The sequence below is a fragment of the Homo sapiens genome, chromosome 18, assembly GCF_000001405.40.
Source record: "Homo sapiens chromosome 18, GRCh38.p14 Primary Assembly".
Classification (NCBI taxonomy): domain Eukaryota; kingdom Metazoa; phylum Chordata; class Mammalia; order Primates; family Hominidae; genus Homo; species Homo sapiens.
Window position 1 is genome coordinate 6,714,976 of NC_000018.10, and position 15,601 is coordinate 6,730,576.

At 42.4% G+C, this 15,601-nt stretch overlaps 1 protein-coding gene and 1 long non-coding RNA gene across 9 annotated transcripts in view, besides 3 other annotated features; one reads left to right on the forward strand and one right to left on the reverse strand.

Annotated features, from left to right (window-relative positions):
* Positions 1-13,951: 13,951 nt before the first annotated feature.
* ARHGAP28-AS1 (ARHGAP28 antisense RNA 1) lies at positions 13,952-14,887 on the reverse strand. Its single transcript, NR_134645.1, has 2 exons — positions 14,745-14,887; positions 13,952-14,193 (listed from the first exon to the last, which is right to left on the reverse strand). It is a non-coding gene; the product is annotated as an ARHGAP28 antisense RNA 1 (long non-coding RNA).
* Positions 14,511-15,474: an enhancer, noted in NCBI's record as "H3K27ac hESC enhancer chr18:6729485-6730448 (GRCh37/hg19 assembly coordinates)". NCBI's record gives its function as "activates a minimal SCP1, AML or CMV promoter by ChIP-STARR-seq in primed H9 embryonic stem cells {active_cell/tissue: H9 hESC(primed)}" and the evidence as "EXISTENCE:reporter gene assay evidence [ECO:0000049][PMID:30033119]".
* Positions 14,644-14,733: a silencer, noted in NCBI's record as "silent region_9268". NCBI's record gives its function as "represses an Ori minimal core promoter by ATAC-STARR-seq in GM12878 lymphoblastoid cells {active_cell/tissue: GM12878}" and the evidence as "EXISTENCE:reporter gene assay evidence [ECO:0000049][PMID:35858748]".
* The window catches only part of ARHGAP28 (Rho GTPase activating protein 28), a 186,001-nt gene continuing 185,140 nt past the window's right edge, over positions 14,741-15,601 (forward strand). For 4 of the 8 annotated variants that reach the window (NM_001366230.1, XM_005258146.3, NM_001366231.1 and 1 more), the window contains exon 1: positions 14,741-14,968. In NM_001366230.1, coding sequence (NP_001353159.1) covers positions 14,847-14,968 — 122 coding nt within the window. In that variant the 5' untranslated portion in view covers positions 14,741-14,846. Of the gene's footprint in view, positions 15,139-15,601 lie in introns of all 8 variants that reach the window. The other 4 variants (NM_001410873.1, XM_047437799.1, XM_047437796.1 and 1 more) reach the window with 4 other exon arrangements.
* Positions 14,944-15,043: a silencer, noted in NCBI's record as "silent region_9269". NCBI's record gives its function as "represses an Ori minimal core promoter by ATAC-STARR-seq in GM12878 lymphoblastoid cells {active_cell/tissue: GM12878}" and the evidence as "EXISTENCE:reporter gene assay evidence [ECO:0000049][PMID:35858748]".

Below are 15,601 nucleotides of genomic sequence, written 5' to 3' on the forward strand. Positions count from 1 at the left end.
CTCTCATTTTAGCCCCATAGGCCCAATTTATAAGCATGAAATGTATTTATTCATTAACATGTCAATACCAATTATATGCAAAATTTGTTAAGATAGAAACTTCTGGCTTCCATGGCCTCACCTTATAACACACTGCTAGATTTTATCATATTTTTAAATTTATCTTATTTTATGTATCTTATTCATCTTCATCTAATAGGTTTTACCTTTCTAATATAGTCACAAATCAGATGTATAAAAAGTATAGCTGTATTCATCTATCCTTGAACTCAACTTAGCTCTATGACTATCACTCAAAGATGCTCAGTCTCCTCCGATTTAAAGCAGGCTTTTTCAGGAACTCATTCAGTTTGCATTTAAGCTCATCAAAGTTCCAAGTTTCTATCATAGTTGTTCTCCCCTGTGGTGGCTTCTTGTCTTCTGCTCGATCTCCTGAGGTTGTACCTGGGCACAGGGTACATTATGTGACATTGCGAAGGATGATGCCGTCCTCCAGCCTTTGCTCATCTGCTTTAGCTTTGGTGGGGTTGGGGGGCTCTGTCCACACTGCCCCCACTGCTGGTGGAGCTACTTGTTCCCTCTATTAGCATAAGCAGTGCCCCTCAGGAACTCCAGCATTTCCCACTGCTCATTAGAGTCCCCACTAGGGATCTCCCTTGGCCTGCCTAGAACTACTCTTTGACTCCTGGCCTGGGCAATGAAATCCTGAGACCCTCAGCCACAAAGTCATTTCATCTTGGACAATAGTGATTCCTCAGAGAGTTTGTCATTCAGTTCTTGCTGGGGGCCCTGGGAAATTCTGGATCCCGTCTGTGCATTTATGAAGGATTCCAGGAGGTACAGGCCATCTTAGGGTCTCTGCAGGGCTGCCTCATCCCAGAGTTTCAGATGGGGATGGCACATAAGCTTCTCCAGCCTCAGGCCCTCAAACCTATTGCTCATATTACCCTAAAACCCAGGAAAGGGCAGATTTGACAGCTCCTCTTCCTCTAAGACAGACCCCCAAAGTATCCTTTACTCCTCTCTTTGCCATCTCTCCAAGACTTCCTCTGTGTGGCAGCAACAATGTCCTTCTCTTTACATCACTGTCTGGTTTTTTGTTTGTTTGTTTGTTTGTTTGTTTTTTTGAGACAGAGTCTTGCTCTGTCACCTAAGCTGGAGTGCAGTGGTGCGATCTCGACATCACTGTCTGAAGTCTTTCTCATGGTGGATAAAAAGCCTCCACATTCAGTCTTCTGAACTTTGCTTCTAGATGTTAATGGGAAGGTTTTTGGGGGGTTTTTTGTTTTGTTTTGTTTTTGCTTTTTTTTTTTTTGAGATGGGGTCTGGCTATGTTGCCCAGGTTGGCCTTGAACTACTGGGCTCAAAAGATCCTCCCACCTCAGCCTCCTGAGTATCTGGGACTACAAATGCCTACCATAGTGCCTGGCTTAATGGGAAGTTTTTAGAATTTAGAAAATCTCAAGTGCTGAGCTCTGGTTATTGAAAGCCCAATTTTCTTGACTAATGTTTCTGGAATGTTCTTCAAGAGCTTATCTCAGAAGTCAAAATCTGAATATCAAAGGTTTAGCCATTTCTCCATTCCACCTGTGACAACTCTACCAATTTCTACATCTGTAAATGTAAAATGTATCTACAGTCCTGTAGTTACTAGAAAATGAAACTACAGGACTGATACCTCACTATGGCTTTCTCAAAAAGTGTGAGGACTCAAAAGTTACAGGAGAGCAGTGCCAATGCGGCTCAAAACCAGAGAATGTGATACTGTGTAAATTATGCCCATGGATTTGTGCAGTGCAGCCTGGTTAGAATGACTTTGATGTCAGGAGTGTAAGGCTAAATTGGCCAGTTGTTGTAGTAATACAACTTCTGTTGGAGGGAGAGGACAATTCCTATTTCTGCTCTGTCACCTGCTAGCCATGAGACTACGTATATGTTTGGTCTTTACCTGATCCCTCCTTTTTGGGGCATCACTCTGAGAGCCTTTATACAGGTACTGCCCTCAGGCCATGTGGTTTGGATTGGGCAAACCCAGCCCTTCTGTCTCAGAGCTTATCACATGACCCAGACCTGGCCTGGCCTATGGCCTGGGTTCAGGAATGGGTATGAGACCCAAGCTAGGCCACTTCCCTGGGACCTGTGCCATATCTTCGTAACAAGAACTTTTTCTTTCTTTGTAAATACAGTGGATCCCTGGGGCTGCAGGTGGCCACCTTGTGACTACACAGCCTGTCTGATATATCTGGAAGCCAAGGGGAAATAAGGCTGAGATATTGGGGAGGCTCCTAAGAGCATTATTGGAGCCTCTGTTGTAAAGCATGTCTGAAGCAAATACCGCCGCCACCTCTTCTTTTGCTGCTTAAGCTAGTGTGAGTTGCATTCTCATTACTTGCAACCACAAGAATAATACCAATAGCTAGCACTTACGTGACACTTTTAGGTGCCACTGTATTGTTCTAAGCACCTGACTCATCTAGTCCTCACAACAGCCCTATGAGGTAGGTCCCATTTTTGCCATCCTCTTACCATCCTCTCCACTTTGCATAGGGGAAACAGAAGCCCAGAGATGTTAGCTTGCCCAAGGTCACAGACCTAAAAAGAGATATAGGTGGGATTCAATCCAGGTAGTCTGGCACCAGAGTCTAGGGACTTAACTACTCCAGGATGCCTCTTAATCCTCTAGACTAATACTGTGAACCTGGACAAGTAACTTAACATCTCTGAGCCTCCAATGTAAGGAGTAAATGATACAATACTTATCATGGTGGATCCTCAGTAAATAGTTATGATTGCAATATTTGTAATTATTTCACAACTTCATGCCATCAGAATTCCTTCTGAGTGGTGCTTGGTAGGTGGGAATAAATGAGTTTATGTTTACAAACAGCTTTGAGGATTTGGAATGAAAGTTGGATACTAAGAATTATGATAGTTTGTTCCCTAAAAACAAGTAACACTTTTGTTCCTTTATACAAAGAAATAATGAATCATAGTTTGGACCTGATGACTTGATTGTGTCTCTCTCTTTCACCATCATATGTAGGATTAAATGATCACTTGAGGCTTGGCTGTTTTTAAAAAATTCTCTAGAAGTGACTGAAAAGAGGCCTAAGATGATGAGATACTTGAGAAAGAATTATTACACCCTTTACCACAGTGCTTCAAATAATTTAAAATCTTTTGTTCTGAATTTATTTCAATGGCCAATGGTATAAAATGGTACATTTCCTAAATTATATGAATACCTGTTATCTACAGATCCCAAATCTGATCCAAATGAAATATAAATCAAAAGGTAATTTGGTAACAATTTACCTAGGCAACTTCAGACATTTAGAGTCTACTTCTTTCATAATTTTTTTTATTTCTGCACCTGCCCCATTCTTTTGAATCTATTATCTTCTACAGACACAGGACAAACTAGCTACTTCCCTCTCCTTTTCTGGTTTTCACCTCCAGGTCCCCTGGCAAAGAGGAATGTGCTCAATGCTGGGGCATTCCTGAGGAGAGTCATTTGGCTGCAGTCATTGAATGGAAAAACTACCGTAATTACTTCCCTAACTATAAAACTACAGTACTAGGGGGTGGGGAGGATACTATATGCAGCTCTCCACTCATTGATTGATTGATTGATTTACACGTTAAACATGAGTTTATACATTATACATTTCTTGAGAGCACATATGGCAGACACTATTATGGACTCTGGGGATACAAATGCAGTGAAATAACGTTACCAAGTTTATTCACATGCTTCCTTTTTGTATTTCCCAATATCATATTATTCCGACTCACTCAGAGGTTAAATTGCTTTAGTATGGATTCCCCAAAGGAAGGGATTACAAACAGACAAAAGTAGTCTATGATCTCTTGGCTAGCAGGTGCCAGAGCAGTGATCAGAATTGTCCTCTCCCTGCAACAGAAGTTTTATTACTACAGCAACTGTCTAATTTCACCTTACACTCCTGTCTTCAAAACCATTCCAACTGGCTACATTGCACAACTCCATGGGCACAATTTACACATCATCACATAATCAAGTTTTGAGGCCCATTGGCATGCTGTCCTATGATTTTTGAGTTCTCATACATTTTGAGAAAGCCACAGTAAGGTATCAGTCCTGTACTTCCATTTTCTAGTGTCAGTCCTATAGTTTCATTTTGTAGTAACTACAGTACTGTAGTTACATTTTACAGAGGTAGAAACAGAGGATTAAGTGGGAGAGGGCTCCTTCATTCATGAAGTGGTTATTTAAGCCTACTATGTAGCAGAAGCTATACTGAGTGTGCCTGTAGCCTGCTCAGACCCCACCCATAAATGCCTCATCTGGAATGCCGGTGCTGTGAGAGGAGATGTCCTCTTCAGGACCATGCCAATGTCCTGACCTGGTGACACTGAGACATTCAGGCTTTCCAATACTTTTTTGAGCCGAACGATAATCAGTAATAACTAGGTACATCCCTGAATAATGTTTCAACTGACAAACATCCATTTTCTGATTATCTACCTAATTCTGCCTAGTTTCAAAATATGACTTATGTTAACACAGTCATGACCTTTTCTGTAGAAATATTTATAGTCTTTGGAGTGTACTAAAAAATATTTACTGGCTGACTAATGGTGACTAGAATTTCTTGAATTCCCCTGGAATCTCCTCTAATAGGTATTGCTAACAAAGTAGAAGGTAAAATAACAATTTCATGTATGCATAGCATAATAAAAAGAACTTATGTTTGTTTAGCATTATGTACACAGCAGTTTTACAACTTATCCTTTTCAAATCGTGGCCAACAACTTTGTGTGATAGGTATTACCATCTCATTTTACAGATGAGAAAAATCAGGTCCCAGAGAGATTAAGTAACTGCTCACAGTCAAACATAGCACAACTCCTATATCTGTCTTGCTCCAAACCCTGCCTTTCACCATTTTAACCACCCCTTGTATAAGCTTACTTTCAAATTATACTTTTGACATCTTCAGATCCAGGTGACTCAGTTCAGGTCATGTATGTCTTCTTGAATGATGCAGTCAGCCACATTTGAGGCCTGAGTTAGCCGATGTGGATTTGAAGCTTCCTATTCTTATCACAAAAATCCCAGGTTTGTTTGATTTATCAACTTTGTCAGGCAGTTACCCCCTCCTTATTCAGGGCCATGTGGAGGCACAACTGCAAAATGGGCAGGTGCATTCTTTCCCTGTGCATCACTTCATCTCACCCTCTGCAAGAACCTCTTCCCTTTCCAGATCTTGGAAATCTTTACCATCTGTGTCCTGATTATGCCTTTTTTCAGTGCTTCCAGGTGAGCCCTGCCTCCCTGAGGCTTCACCAAATCCTGCTCTAGTAAATACTGTTAATGTGTTGGCTTCTATTCCTGCTACCTGAAATCTCCAAGGTATCAACTTAGGGACTTTCTCCCTCATGGTATGTGATCTTGGGGCCTGTCTTATCATTAACAGCAGGGAAGGCAGTCCCTGAAGACCACATCTCTTAAGACTCAGTGACTGCCAAGTGGAGGCTTAACCACAGCCAATCTGATGCAATTCTGGTACCCTGTTTCCTGAGAAGAGGGAAGCAAGGATAGAAGAAAAAGTTAAAATTTGTTAATTTTGTAAGAAGCACCCTGGCAAGATTGTGTTCTCATTCCTGCTCCAAGAGTTGTCTTTCAGTTTTGATCTTCAATCCTGTGCTGTTTCTCAGATCTTTGTAAAACATTGTTCTTTGTTTTGGTTAATCAGAATTGTTTCTTTGGTTTCCAATCCAAGAATGATCATAATAAACCTTCCCTCTTTGTTGGCAGACCTGCATACTGCATGTCCCAAAGCCTCTCACTGTCTTCTACTTCCTTCACTGTCTCCTACTGTGCTCACCCCATCACTTGCCAGGTCAGGTGGTCTGTCCCTCCCCAGGTGAACCAGAACAAAGCAGGCAGCTGATCTGTAATCACGAGCTAGTGACAGAGAGGGGATTGTCAGGGTCCTTTCCCGAGCTTCCCCTCCAAGACACCTGTGTAATTCTTTAAGCTAAACGTCTTTTCAATAGCTATTTAAATTCCATTTATCTCATCTTGGACTTTGTCTTAGGATTCAATTTGGGACTTAGCATGTGACCATTTATAGTTGGTTTTCTTCTGCCTCAGACTCTAGTGTACACTCTTCTCCCAAAAAGGTTGGGAGGCCTAGGAGATGTAGGTCAGAAGAGCTGAGTGAAGACCAGGTGGTGCAGAGCCCAGGAGGATGCCTAAAAGCATAAGCTGATTCTGGTGCTACCTTGTTTGACACCATCAGTGGATTCCCCATCTGAACTCTTGGATAAAGTTTAAACTCCTCACAAGGCATTCAGATGCACCAGGGCCTGGCCTCTGCCTGTCTCCAGCTTTGTCTCCAGGGTTTTCTCCCTTACACTTTACTCTCTAGCAAAGCTAAACTAAAAGGGTTTCCCTGTACATACTTCACTGTCTTTTTTTCCCTGTGCCTTGTTTCCATCTGTTACCTGCCTCTGGAATGCCCTTCCTTACATAGCCTCAGCCACACACACCTACTTGTGAGCTAGCCAAGTGTCATTCATCTTTTAAGAGCATCTCTAACATAACCTCCTGGGGAAGTGTGTTATTTGATGACCTCCTACACCAATCTCTTCCCCGCTTGCAGAGACCCAGTTAGTCTGTGCTTTCATGTTCCTATTCATCTTCATATTCTTGGTGCTTGGCATTGTAGGTATGAGTGATAATTGTAAGTTCTTGGGGTAGATGCGTGGGTGGATGGATAGATGGATGGATACATGGAAGAGTGAATGAATGAATGAATAAAGCCTTTATGTAATTGTAAAAACATGGTATTGCAGGAAATATTCCATATTGTAAGTACTTTTTGACTAAAACTTTATGCTATGGCTGGTCTGTTCCTTTCCTCTACCCTGCCTGGGTCTATTAGTAGTGATTCATTTCCAATCAATAATGATTCAATTTATCTGTAGAAGTCACTTAAGTAATTCAGTTATGTCTACCACATAAATAACACAAGTCTTGACCTGGCTGGCTGGCTCTCGTGGTGACATAATCTACTTAACCCAATTACCAAATTGATCAAAGATCCCAAAACAGTTAATGAAGAAAAATAAGCCCTGATTTCTCTTTAAAAATAGATACTAAGAAAGCAATAGGAAAATCAGAGTAGTCTAGAAATTCTGTGTCATCATGAGAGCACCCAGAAAATAAATTTAACTCAAGTAGTGCCAATACATTTTGAAAAATATTTCAGAGTAGCAGATCAAGATTTACCAACTGACTTGATGATGAAAGATTTACACACTACCTTTTAAAATATTTGTCTCATTATTTTCTCTTTATATAAAATAAATGCAACTTTGTATTCATTCCCTCTAATTTAAACCAGTCTTTCCAGAGGACTTGAGGGCACTGATAATGTATGTAAGATGAAGGGTTTTTTGTTTGTTTTGTTTGTTGGTCTCTTCTTTGAGACAGGGTCTTGCTCTATCTCCCTGGTTAGAGAGCAGTGGTGCGATCATGGCTCATTGCAGCCTCAACCTCCCAGGCTCAAGCAATCTCCCCACTTCAGCCTCCTGTGTGGCTGGGACTAAGGGTACACACCACCACACCAGCTAATTTTTAAATTTTTTGTAGAGATGGGGTCTCCATATGTTGCCCAGGCTGGTCTTAAACTCTTGGGCTCAAGCGATCCTCCTGTGTCTTGCCTCGCAAAGTGCTGGGATTATAAACGTGAGCCACCCCACCCTGCCAGGTGGAGTTCTGAAAGCAGAATTCGCATGTTCTCTTTGGTAGGTAAGAATTGTGCCTTCATTTCCTGCAAGATAGGGCCAGTGACTATGTTCCCTCAACCCTTCTTGCTAAGAGAATGTCAGTCAGCATCTGCAAGGACTCATGAGGCTGCAGCTGTTTTCCTGTTCTGGTATGAAATTATCCTAGCAGCAATTTTGCCAGATAAGCAGCCAAGGCCACAAGAAGCACTTTTCCTTTGTCCATGTTAAAGTTTTGCATAAATGTTTTGTTTTCTTGCCTTTCCTGATGGGTTTAAATGGAATATCTCCATATTTCGTAGTCCATGCAACTGGTGGCACTTGGGGGCCAGTGTTTGTGAGGCCTCCCCAGGTAGGTTTCATCACATAAATTGAATGTGACTTATCTCTCAGCAAAGGTTGTGAAAAACCTTTGGAATCCTGGGTCCAGATTCTTTACTCTTGAGGGTTGAACTCAAATCGTACTTCTGGAAGGGCTGAGACAGAGGACAGCTGACAAGGGAGAGTGAAAGACAGAGAAGGGAACCAACATCTGAACATCTAGCATATGCTTAGTACTGGGATAGGTGTCTTAAAGATGTGATCTCATTTTAACTTCCCATCAACTCTTTGAGGAGATATTACTGGTCTCTGTTTTTCAAATTAGGAAATGGAAAAAGAGAGAAATTAAGGTGACACAGCCAGTAAATAGTAAATCATAATCAAGCTCAAACTCAACTCTGTCTTACTCTCTTTTGTCTACCACTCTGCTTCCAGTTTATTTAGAAAGTGCAATCTTTGTGCACTTGTGATTACATATTTCACTATTCTCTAATGCCTTATTTATATGTATCCACTGACAAATTTACAAGGCAGAATGAAAAACTGAATTATCCTTCAACACATTGTAAGAGTAGTTGATGACAATAATTATACACACACACACATATATTAAGAAACAATAATTCTGCCTTAGTAATTTTGAACTACCTTAGTATAGTGCCTTAAGAATACATGTGACTCCCTTCCTTATTATTTTCATCATCATCATTACATGCTAGTGATTATTTACCCTCTAGTGTACTAAATAGGTTTATGTAAAGCTACCATAAAGAAACATAAATCAAATCCTACTTGTTTCTTTACATTTTACTAGAGGAATATATTTTGAATCTCATCAAACCTTTCATAAAAGAGAAATATAATAATTAAGGACCTAAATTCAGGAGCCAGATTTCCTGGGTTTGAATACTGGCTTTGCCACCTCCTAGCCTGCGTAGGACGTGGGTAGCCTTGGGAAGTTACTACAGCCAGTTTCTTCAACTGTAACATGGAGCTGCCAGCAGTGATACTTATCTCACCTCAAAGGCTGCTGTGAGCCTCTCATGAGTTGATGTTCTGATGTCTTAAACAGAACCAGGGACATGGTAAATGTTCAATACATGTAGGCTGTTTTATTTCTTTTGCATGTGAAAAAAACAGGTCTACAGTTCAGTGACTTTCTTGGGGTGTCATGTTGGTGGCAGAGTGGGTACTGACATCCAAGTCTCTCGATTCCCAGTTCAGTGCTGGGCACTGTATGACATCCAGAGTAGGACAGCACAGGAAACTGTAAGTTTCCCTCTATCTTTGCCCTTACTCCAAATAAACTGAAAATGCTGTCTACATGTCCACTCTCCAGTGTTGGGCAAGTTTCAAGCTTAGCTTCTCCAGGGCCACCATTTACTCCACTGCCTGGCCAGCTGTCACAGCCCTGTGCTGTCATCCCCTAGCACACTGGATTCCAGCATTGTTTGGAATGCCAAAAATGTTAACAGACTCTATCAAGTCTGAATTTTGAAATTCAGAAACTCTCAAATTTGAATCCTTTTTCATAACTCATTTGACCGCAAGACCTGTTCAGGCCTGAACTTTTTCAGTGACAAAACATCTGAACTGACATGAGGCTATTTATAATTTGTATTTGACCCTCATAGTGTGAGGGACACTGCCCCACATCCTGGGGCAGCGGGATACATATCAGTCAGGGTCTTGGCAGAAAGAGATGGGGCACTCAGCCCAGGTGAATAAAGAGAGTTTATTAAAGGGACTATTTATAAAGGCATGGCTGGAGCGAAGGAATCCTTAATAAGGGATGCGGCAGAACAGCAGAAGGAGTGAGTACCACATGCACCAGGAGCTGTCACCACCCCAGGATCAGGAGGGCCAGGTAGAGGTAGGAGTTACCTGAATTTGGAGAAAGCAGCATAGCAGAGGGTTGCAGTCAGGAGTGATAGGTAGAAGGATCTAACGTGCAGCAAAATAGCAAAGAAGCCTGGGAAGTCAGTACCTAACCTTACTCCCTCTCCCTCTAGATCTTCTGCTGGTGCCTCTCTTTAGTGAACCGTCCCTGAAGCCAGAGGCAAGGGAGTTCATAGATGCAGACCACACGGTGAGCCACCCAGGGTATCAAGCAGGGTAGTGAGGTTGGCAAGTGGATCTGGAGGCCCAATGGAAATAGCCTGCGTAGCATATTCTATAACGTCCAATATATGCATTCTACCATCTTTCTAAAAGCCAAAAACTCGAGAATGCTTAAAAGAGTTGTATTTTATTAAGTCAACAGCATATAGATATATTTGAAAAATATTATTACATACATGTCAGCTTTTTTTTTTTTTTGACAGAATCTTGCCCTGTTGCCAGGCTGGAGTGCAGTGACACCATCTCAGCTCACTGCAGCCTCTGCCTCCCGGGTTCAAGCGATTCTCCTGCCCCAGCCTCCCAAGTAGCTGGGACTACAGGTGCGCATCACCAGGCCCAGCTAATTTTTGTATTTTTAGTACAGATGGGGTTTCACCATGTTGGCCAGGATGGTCTCGATCTCTTGACCTCGTGATCTGCCCACCTTGGCCTCCCAAAGTGCTGGGATTACAGGCGTGAGCCACTGCGCCCAGCCACACGTCAACTTTTTTTTGGTTTGCAGTTTCAGTGCCATAGAGACTTATGAGTCATTTATAATAATGCTTTGGTATGGGGGCTCAGAAAACAATTTGGTATTGGGGCTCAGAAAACAAAATGAGGGTCTTGGGGTAGTCTCAAAGGCAAAAGTTTTGTTTTTTGTGTTTTTGTTTTTTTTTTTCCTGACCTTTTTGCTCCTAGTCTCCCAGTCTCATCTTCTAGCCATAGAAACTAGAATCTCTCTTTTTCAAGGTGGGTCATAGAAACCAGAACCTTTTTTTCCCCAAAGACGGCCATAAAACCTGAAAACATTACCCCACTTTTTCCTCCATTGTTCTGTGTAAAAATTGGCCATAAAGAAGTTATCTGACCTACTTGTTTGACTGCAGATTATAAGACCCCCATTCTAGAGAGAGTCCTGTCGCATACCCTGAAGGAAGAAATGCATGCTCAGAGAGGCCAAGAAGGATCAAGACAGACAGGCTTTGCTGGGTTTCTCCACTTAGTCTCTTAGCATTAGATAATATTCTTTTTGTCCAATCATATTTCTGCATGGCTCTCCATACTGTGTTGAAACTAAGCATAAGAATTGACAATTTCCCATATACTTTTGGGTCTTCATTCTGAAGGATCCTGTGTTTACACATTAAATACATTTTTATGCCTTTTCTCCAATTAATCTGATTTCTGTGAGTTAATTTTTCGGTGAAACTTCCGAGGGCAAAGAAGTTTCTCTTTGACCCTTACACTTGCCTACTCTGCAAGGTTGAAACTACTGCACTAAAGAGTATTATCTCGTTCATTGATTCACTCATTGATTCATATGTTCATTCTTTCAACAAATATTCCTTATTGAATGCCTGCTCTGCAAAACTCTACAGGCTCTGGGCTATAAAGAGAAAAATGACCCTAGCCCTTCCAGTAGCTTACAATTTAGTAAAAGACACTAATTTTTTGGAAAATAGTAATACAATCTTGAGTTAGCAAGTAGTTTTCATCTCAAAGCTATCTTGCTGGTTTGGGGTTCTATTTTGAGGTAGCTTTCATGGCCATATCTGGGCTCAGTGGAAAAAAATGCTAAGATCTGTTAGCAACATCTGATGTGGGCGCAGCCGTGGAGAATGCACACAGCACAGTGTTTGGCTGACTGTGCTTTAATTACATGGTCGAATGAAATTATTTATTACAATGAAAGTAAGAGCAATTTCCACAGAAGGGCAGAAGGAAGGTTGCTTTGAATTAGGAACACCTGAGAGGCTTTATAGTGGTATATATAGAGTGTTTCAGGATTTCCAGACAAGAAATAATAGGTAGGGGCAAAGACAAAGTAAGATCACAGGACAGGCTGGTGTAAGTGGGCCACAGGGCCTTTGGGGTGATGAAGTACTCGGTGATCAAAATAGATTAAGGAGAGGCCATACGAAGGAGTTTGGACTTCAATTTGCAGCAAGTGAGTTACAATCGAGGGCTTTTGAGAAGAGGATGTTCTGCATTTTAGGAAAATCATCCAAACAGCATTTTGAAGGGGGTGGGGCTTAAGAGGAAGCTGATGGAAAGTAATCTTTGTGAAGGAAGGATTGCAGCCACCTAGTCAGGAGATGGTGACGAGAAGGCAAAGACATTAGCAGTAGGAATTCAAAGAATGGTTGGCAGACATTTTGAGGAAGAAATGACAGATTTGATCATCGATTGGAGGGAGGAGTCCAAAGTGAAACCAGGGTGTCTACAATGTGAATTCACAAGAGGAGGAGGGCTCCGTAGCTGGCAGGATGGGGCGTTACTGCAACGCGGGGCATCTAGAGGCCGTGTTATGGTCAAAATGGTTACAAGAAAAGACCCTGCAGGTATTTCATATTGTGAGTCTGTAGTTTAGAAAAATAAAAGAAGAATGTTCCATGCGCAGAAAAAGTTCCACTACTATAATTCCTTATGGTAATTCTAAAATTCTGTAAGATAAAAATTACAAGCTTTTATGAGGTTTGGTGCCAAAACTTATTGGGTGATAAACCTAACCTGAACAAATGTGAGGCTATCTATAGACTTTATCCTACTCAAAGTCAATATTCATTTTTTTTTTGTTGCAGAAATAATACACTTAAATGTACAGTACTGTCCCAAATTTACTGGGCTGAGGGTTTTTATATTAAATGGTGCATGTATCAAATTATCATTTAAAAATAAAAAGTGGATATAATTTCTGAAATGTATCTGTTCCCAAGGTTTTAGATGAAGAATTGTGGATATATATATCAATACCTACAGTGGTTTTTTAACTTCACATTTTAAGAAGGTATTGTCTTAGTTTTATGCATTGGCATAAAGCACAGTAAATAAACAGATGCCTCTTTTTATCTGAAAATTTTGGAGAATAAAGCATTCTTTGTATGTGTCTTTTCCATACACTCATGCTTAGTAAGTTTCTTTGTCCATAAAATTGGGATAATAATACTACCTACCTCATAGAATTGTTTAAACAGCTAATGTACACCATCTAACACATAAGTATGTTAGCAAATTTAGTCATTATTATCTCACCCCTTTAATTAATAAAACATTTTTAAAAAGCATTTTGGATGAAAAACTTGTTTTCCCAACCTCTGAAAGTGCAATGAAAATAAATGTGTCCCTTCTTGTTGAATGTAAAGAGCAAAGAGTACCCCCATTTCTTGAAAACCTAATATGTACTTGTTGCTTTAATCCCACGAGATGAACGTTATTTTCCCCATTTCACAGATGCAGCAACAGAGATTCTGAGATGTTAAGTAGCATGATCAAGTTGCCCTCCAGTAAGGGATAGGTTAACTTGTCTTTCCACTTCGTCTAGCTCCTAGAGATGCACGGAAGAGACAGCAGATAAAACACATTGTCCGTGTGAGTAAAACATTCACGTGGGCCTCTTCCTAGGCATACTTCTGGTTACTTTTTAATCAGCTATAAGAATGTTGTTTTTCCATTTGTGCTATTAGTCCTATGTGGATAAGGACATACTTCAGACTCAAGATTTCTAATGATGCCCCTTTTTATCTACCTCGAACCAGTCCCTACATCGTCCCCCACCAACAGTAACTTCTGGAAATAACACCCATTTGGCTTATAATAATAAAGTCTAATTTTCAGACAAGCTGCAAACGGTATCTGTTAATGTGATCATGATTGGGAGGAGGAAAGGGATGTGAGAGTGAGGTAAGAGTCTGGTAGTGGCGCACTGAGGGTGTGGGAGGGAAGCGTTCCCTTGCTGTAAAAGGGGATTACCTGACCCAAAAGGAAATCAAGTTTATTGTAACTTGACTAAGTAAACAGCAATGTAATCCAGTTCTTCAATTTTTGATGTGGATGCTTTAAATGAGAGAGTGTCACATTTTCTCCTTTTCTTCCCTAGAGCACACATATCAAACCCGGCCTCTCTCCTCAGCCTGAGGTATGGTTTCTTAGTCTCACTCCTCGCAGCCAGGCAGGAAATGTTCCCAGCCACAGGATAAGCCTCCAGTTGGAAGAGGGCTGGGAGGGGGAGTGAGAAAAGGAAAAAAAAAGAAACAAAGAAAAACAAACTTTACTAGAGCCGCTAGCAGGAGCCCCAAAGGATCCCGGCCGGTTTCCAGTTTCCTAGAAGCGGGGATCACACCTCCCCGCGCACTCCCGACACATGCGCGCGCACGCACACACAGGCGCACACACACAGACACACAGGCGCGCGCACACAGGCACACACATGGACACACGGGCGCGCACACACAGGCACAAACACAGGCGCACACATAGGCGCACACACACACAGGCGTGCACACGTACACAGGCACACAAACAGGCACACACAGGTACACACGCACACACAGACAGGCACAGACGCACGCACACACACAGGCACACAAACAGGCACTCACACAGGAGCGCGCGCGCGCGCGCGCACACACACACACACACACGCACTATGCCCGCCCCCACTCCAGCCCGTGGGCGTGGTTCCCAGCGTCTGCGAATTCGCGCGCCCGGGGCGGGGCGGGCCTGCCCGGGGGCCCCTGACAGCCGCGGGAGAGAGCGGCTGGTCGCACCTCGGGCCGCGCCGCCCAGCTGCTGACAGCCTCCCGGCGCGCCGGTCCATGCTGGTCCCGGTCTTTGTTCTGGGGCCGGCGCCGAGACATGCGCGGCTGACGATGGAGGTGGAGGACTCGGGCGGCGTGGTGCTGACCGCCTACCACTCGTACGCGCGCGCCCAGCCCCCCAACGCCGAGTCGCGCTGCGCGCCCCGCGCCGCAGCCAGCCACCCGCTCAGCAGGTACCCGGAGCCGCTCCCACCAGGGCGGCGCAGTCGCGCTGGGCTTGGGGGGTTCGCCGTGCAGCTGCGCCTTGTGCCTGAGCGCACGACCGCCGTCACTGGATGTTGTTTCAAGTTTTGGTGGACTAGATGAGTGAGCCTGGGGTTCTTTGCATTGTCTTTGACTGGAGGTGGGAAACGCTCGAAGGCTCCACCAGCCTGGGCTGAAGTCGTTGGCTAGCAGAGATTAGCAAGCAGCAGGATTGCATTCTTGATACGATTTGAGGATAAGTCATGTGTATATATATATATATACCTCATTTCGGCCAAAGTTGCCTATAAAACATCGGGAAATTAAAAAATATTCCAAATGAAACACAAGCAGCACATGAAAAGAAAACAGTAAATGAATAACCCTAAATCCTCAGAATACTCCTTTTGAGAGCTTGTTCAGTAACTGCATGCCTGGTTTAAAATTTAGGTTGAGAAATTCTCTAAAAAGTACACCTCAATAGACTTTTAAAGACAATTTTATTTCTACATGTTAAAACCTTTCAATTGTATAAAGGCATTGGTGTCATTATTTGATTACTGCTAATGTCAACTCTATGCTGTCAATGCAATTATATTTCCTTTTGGTCAAAAGAAGTCTAT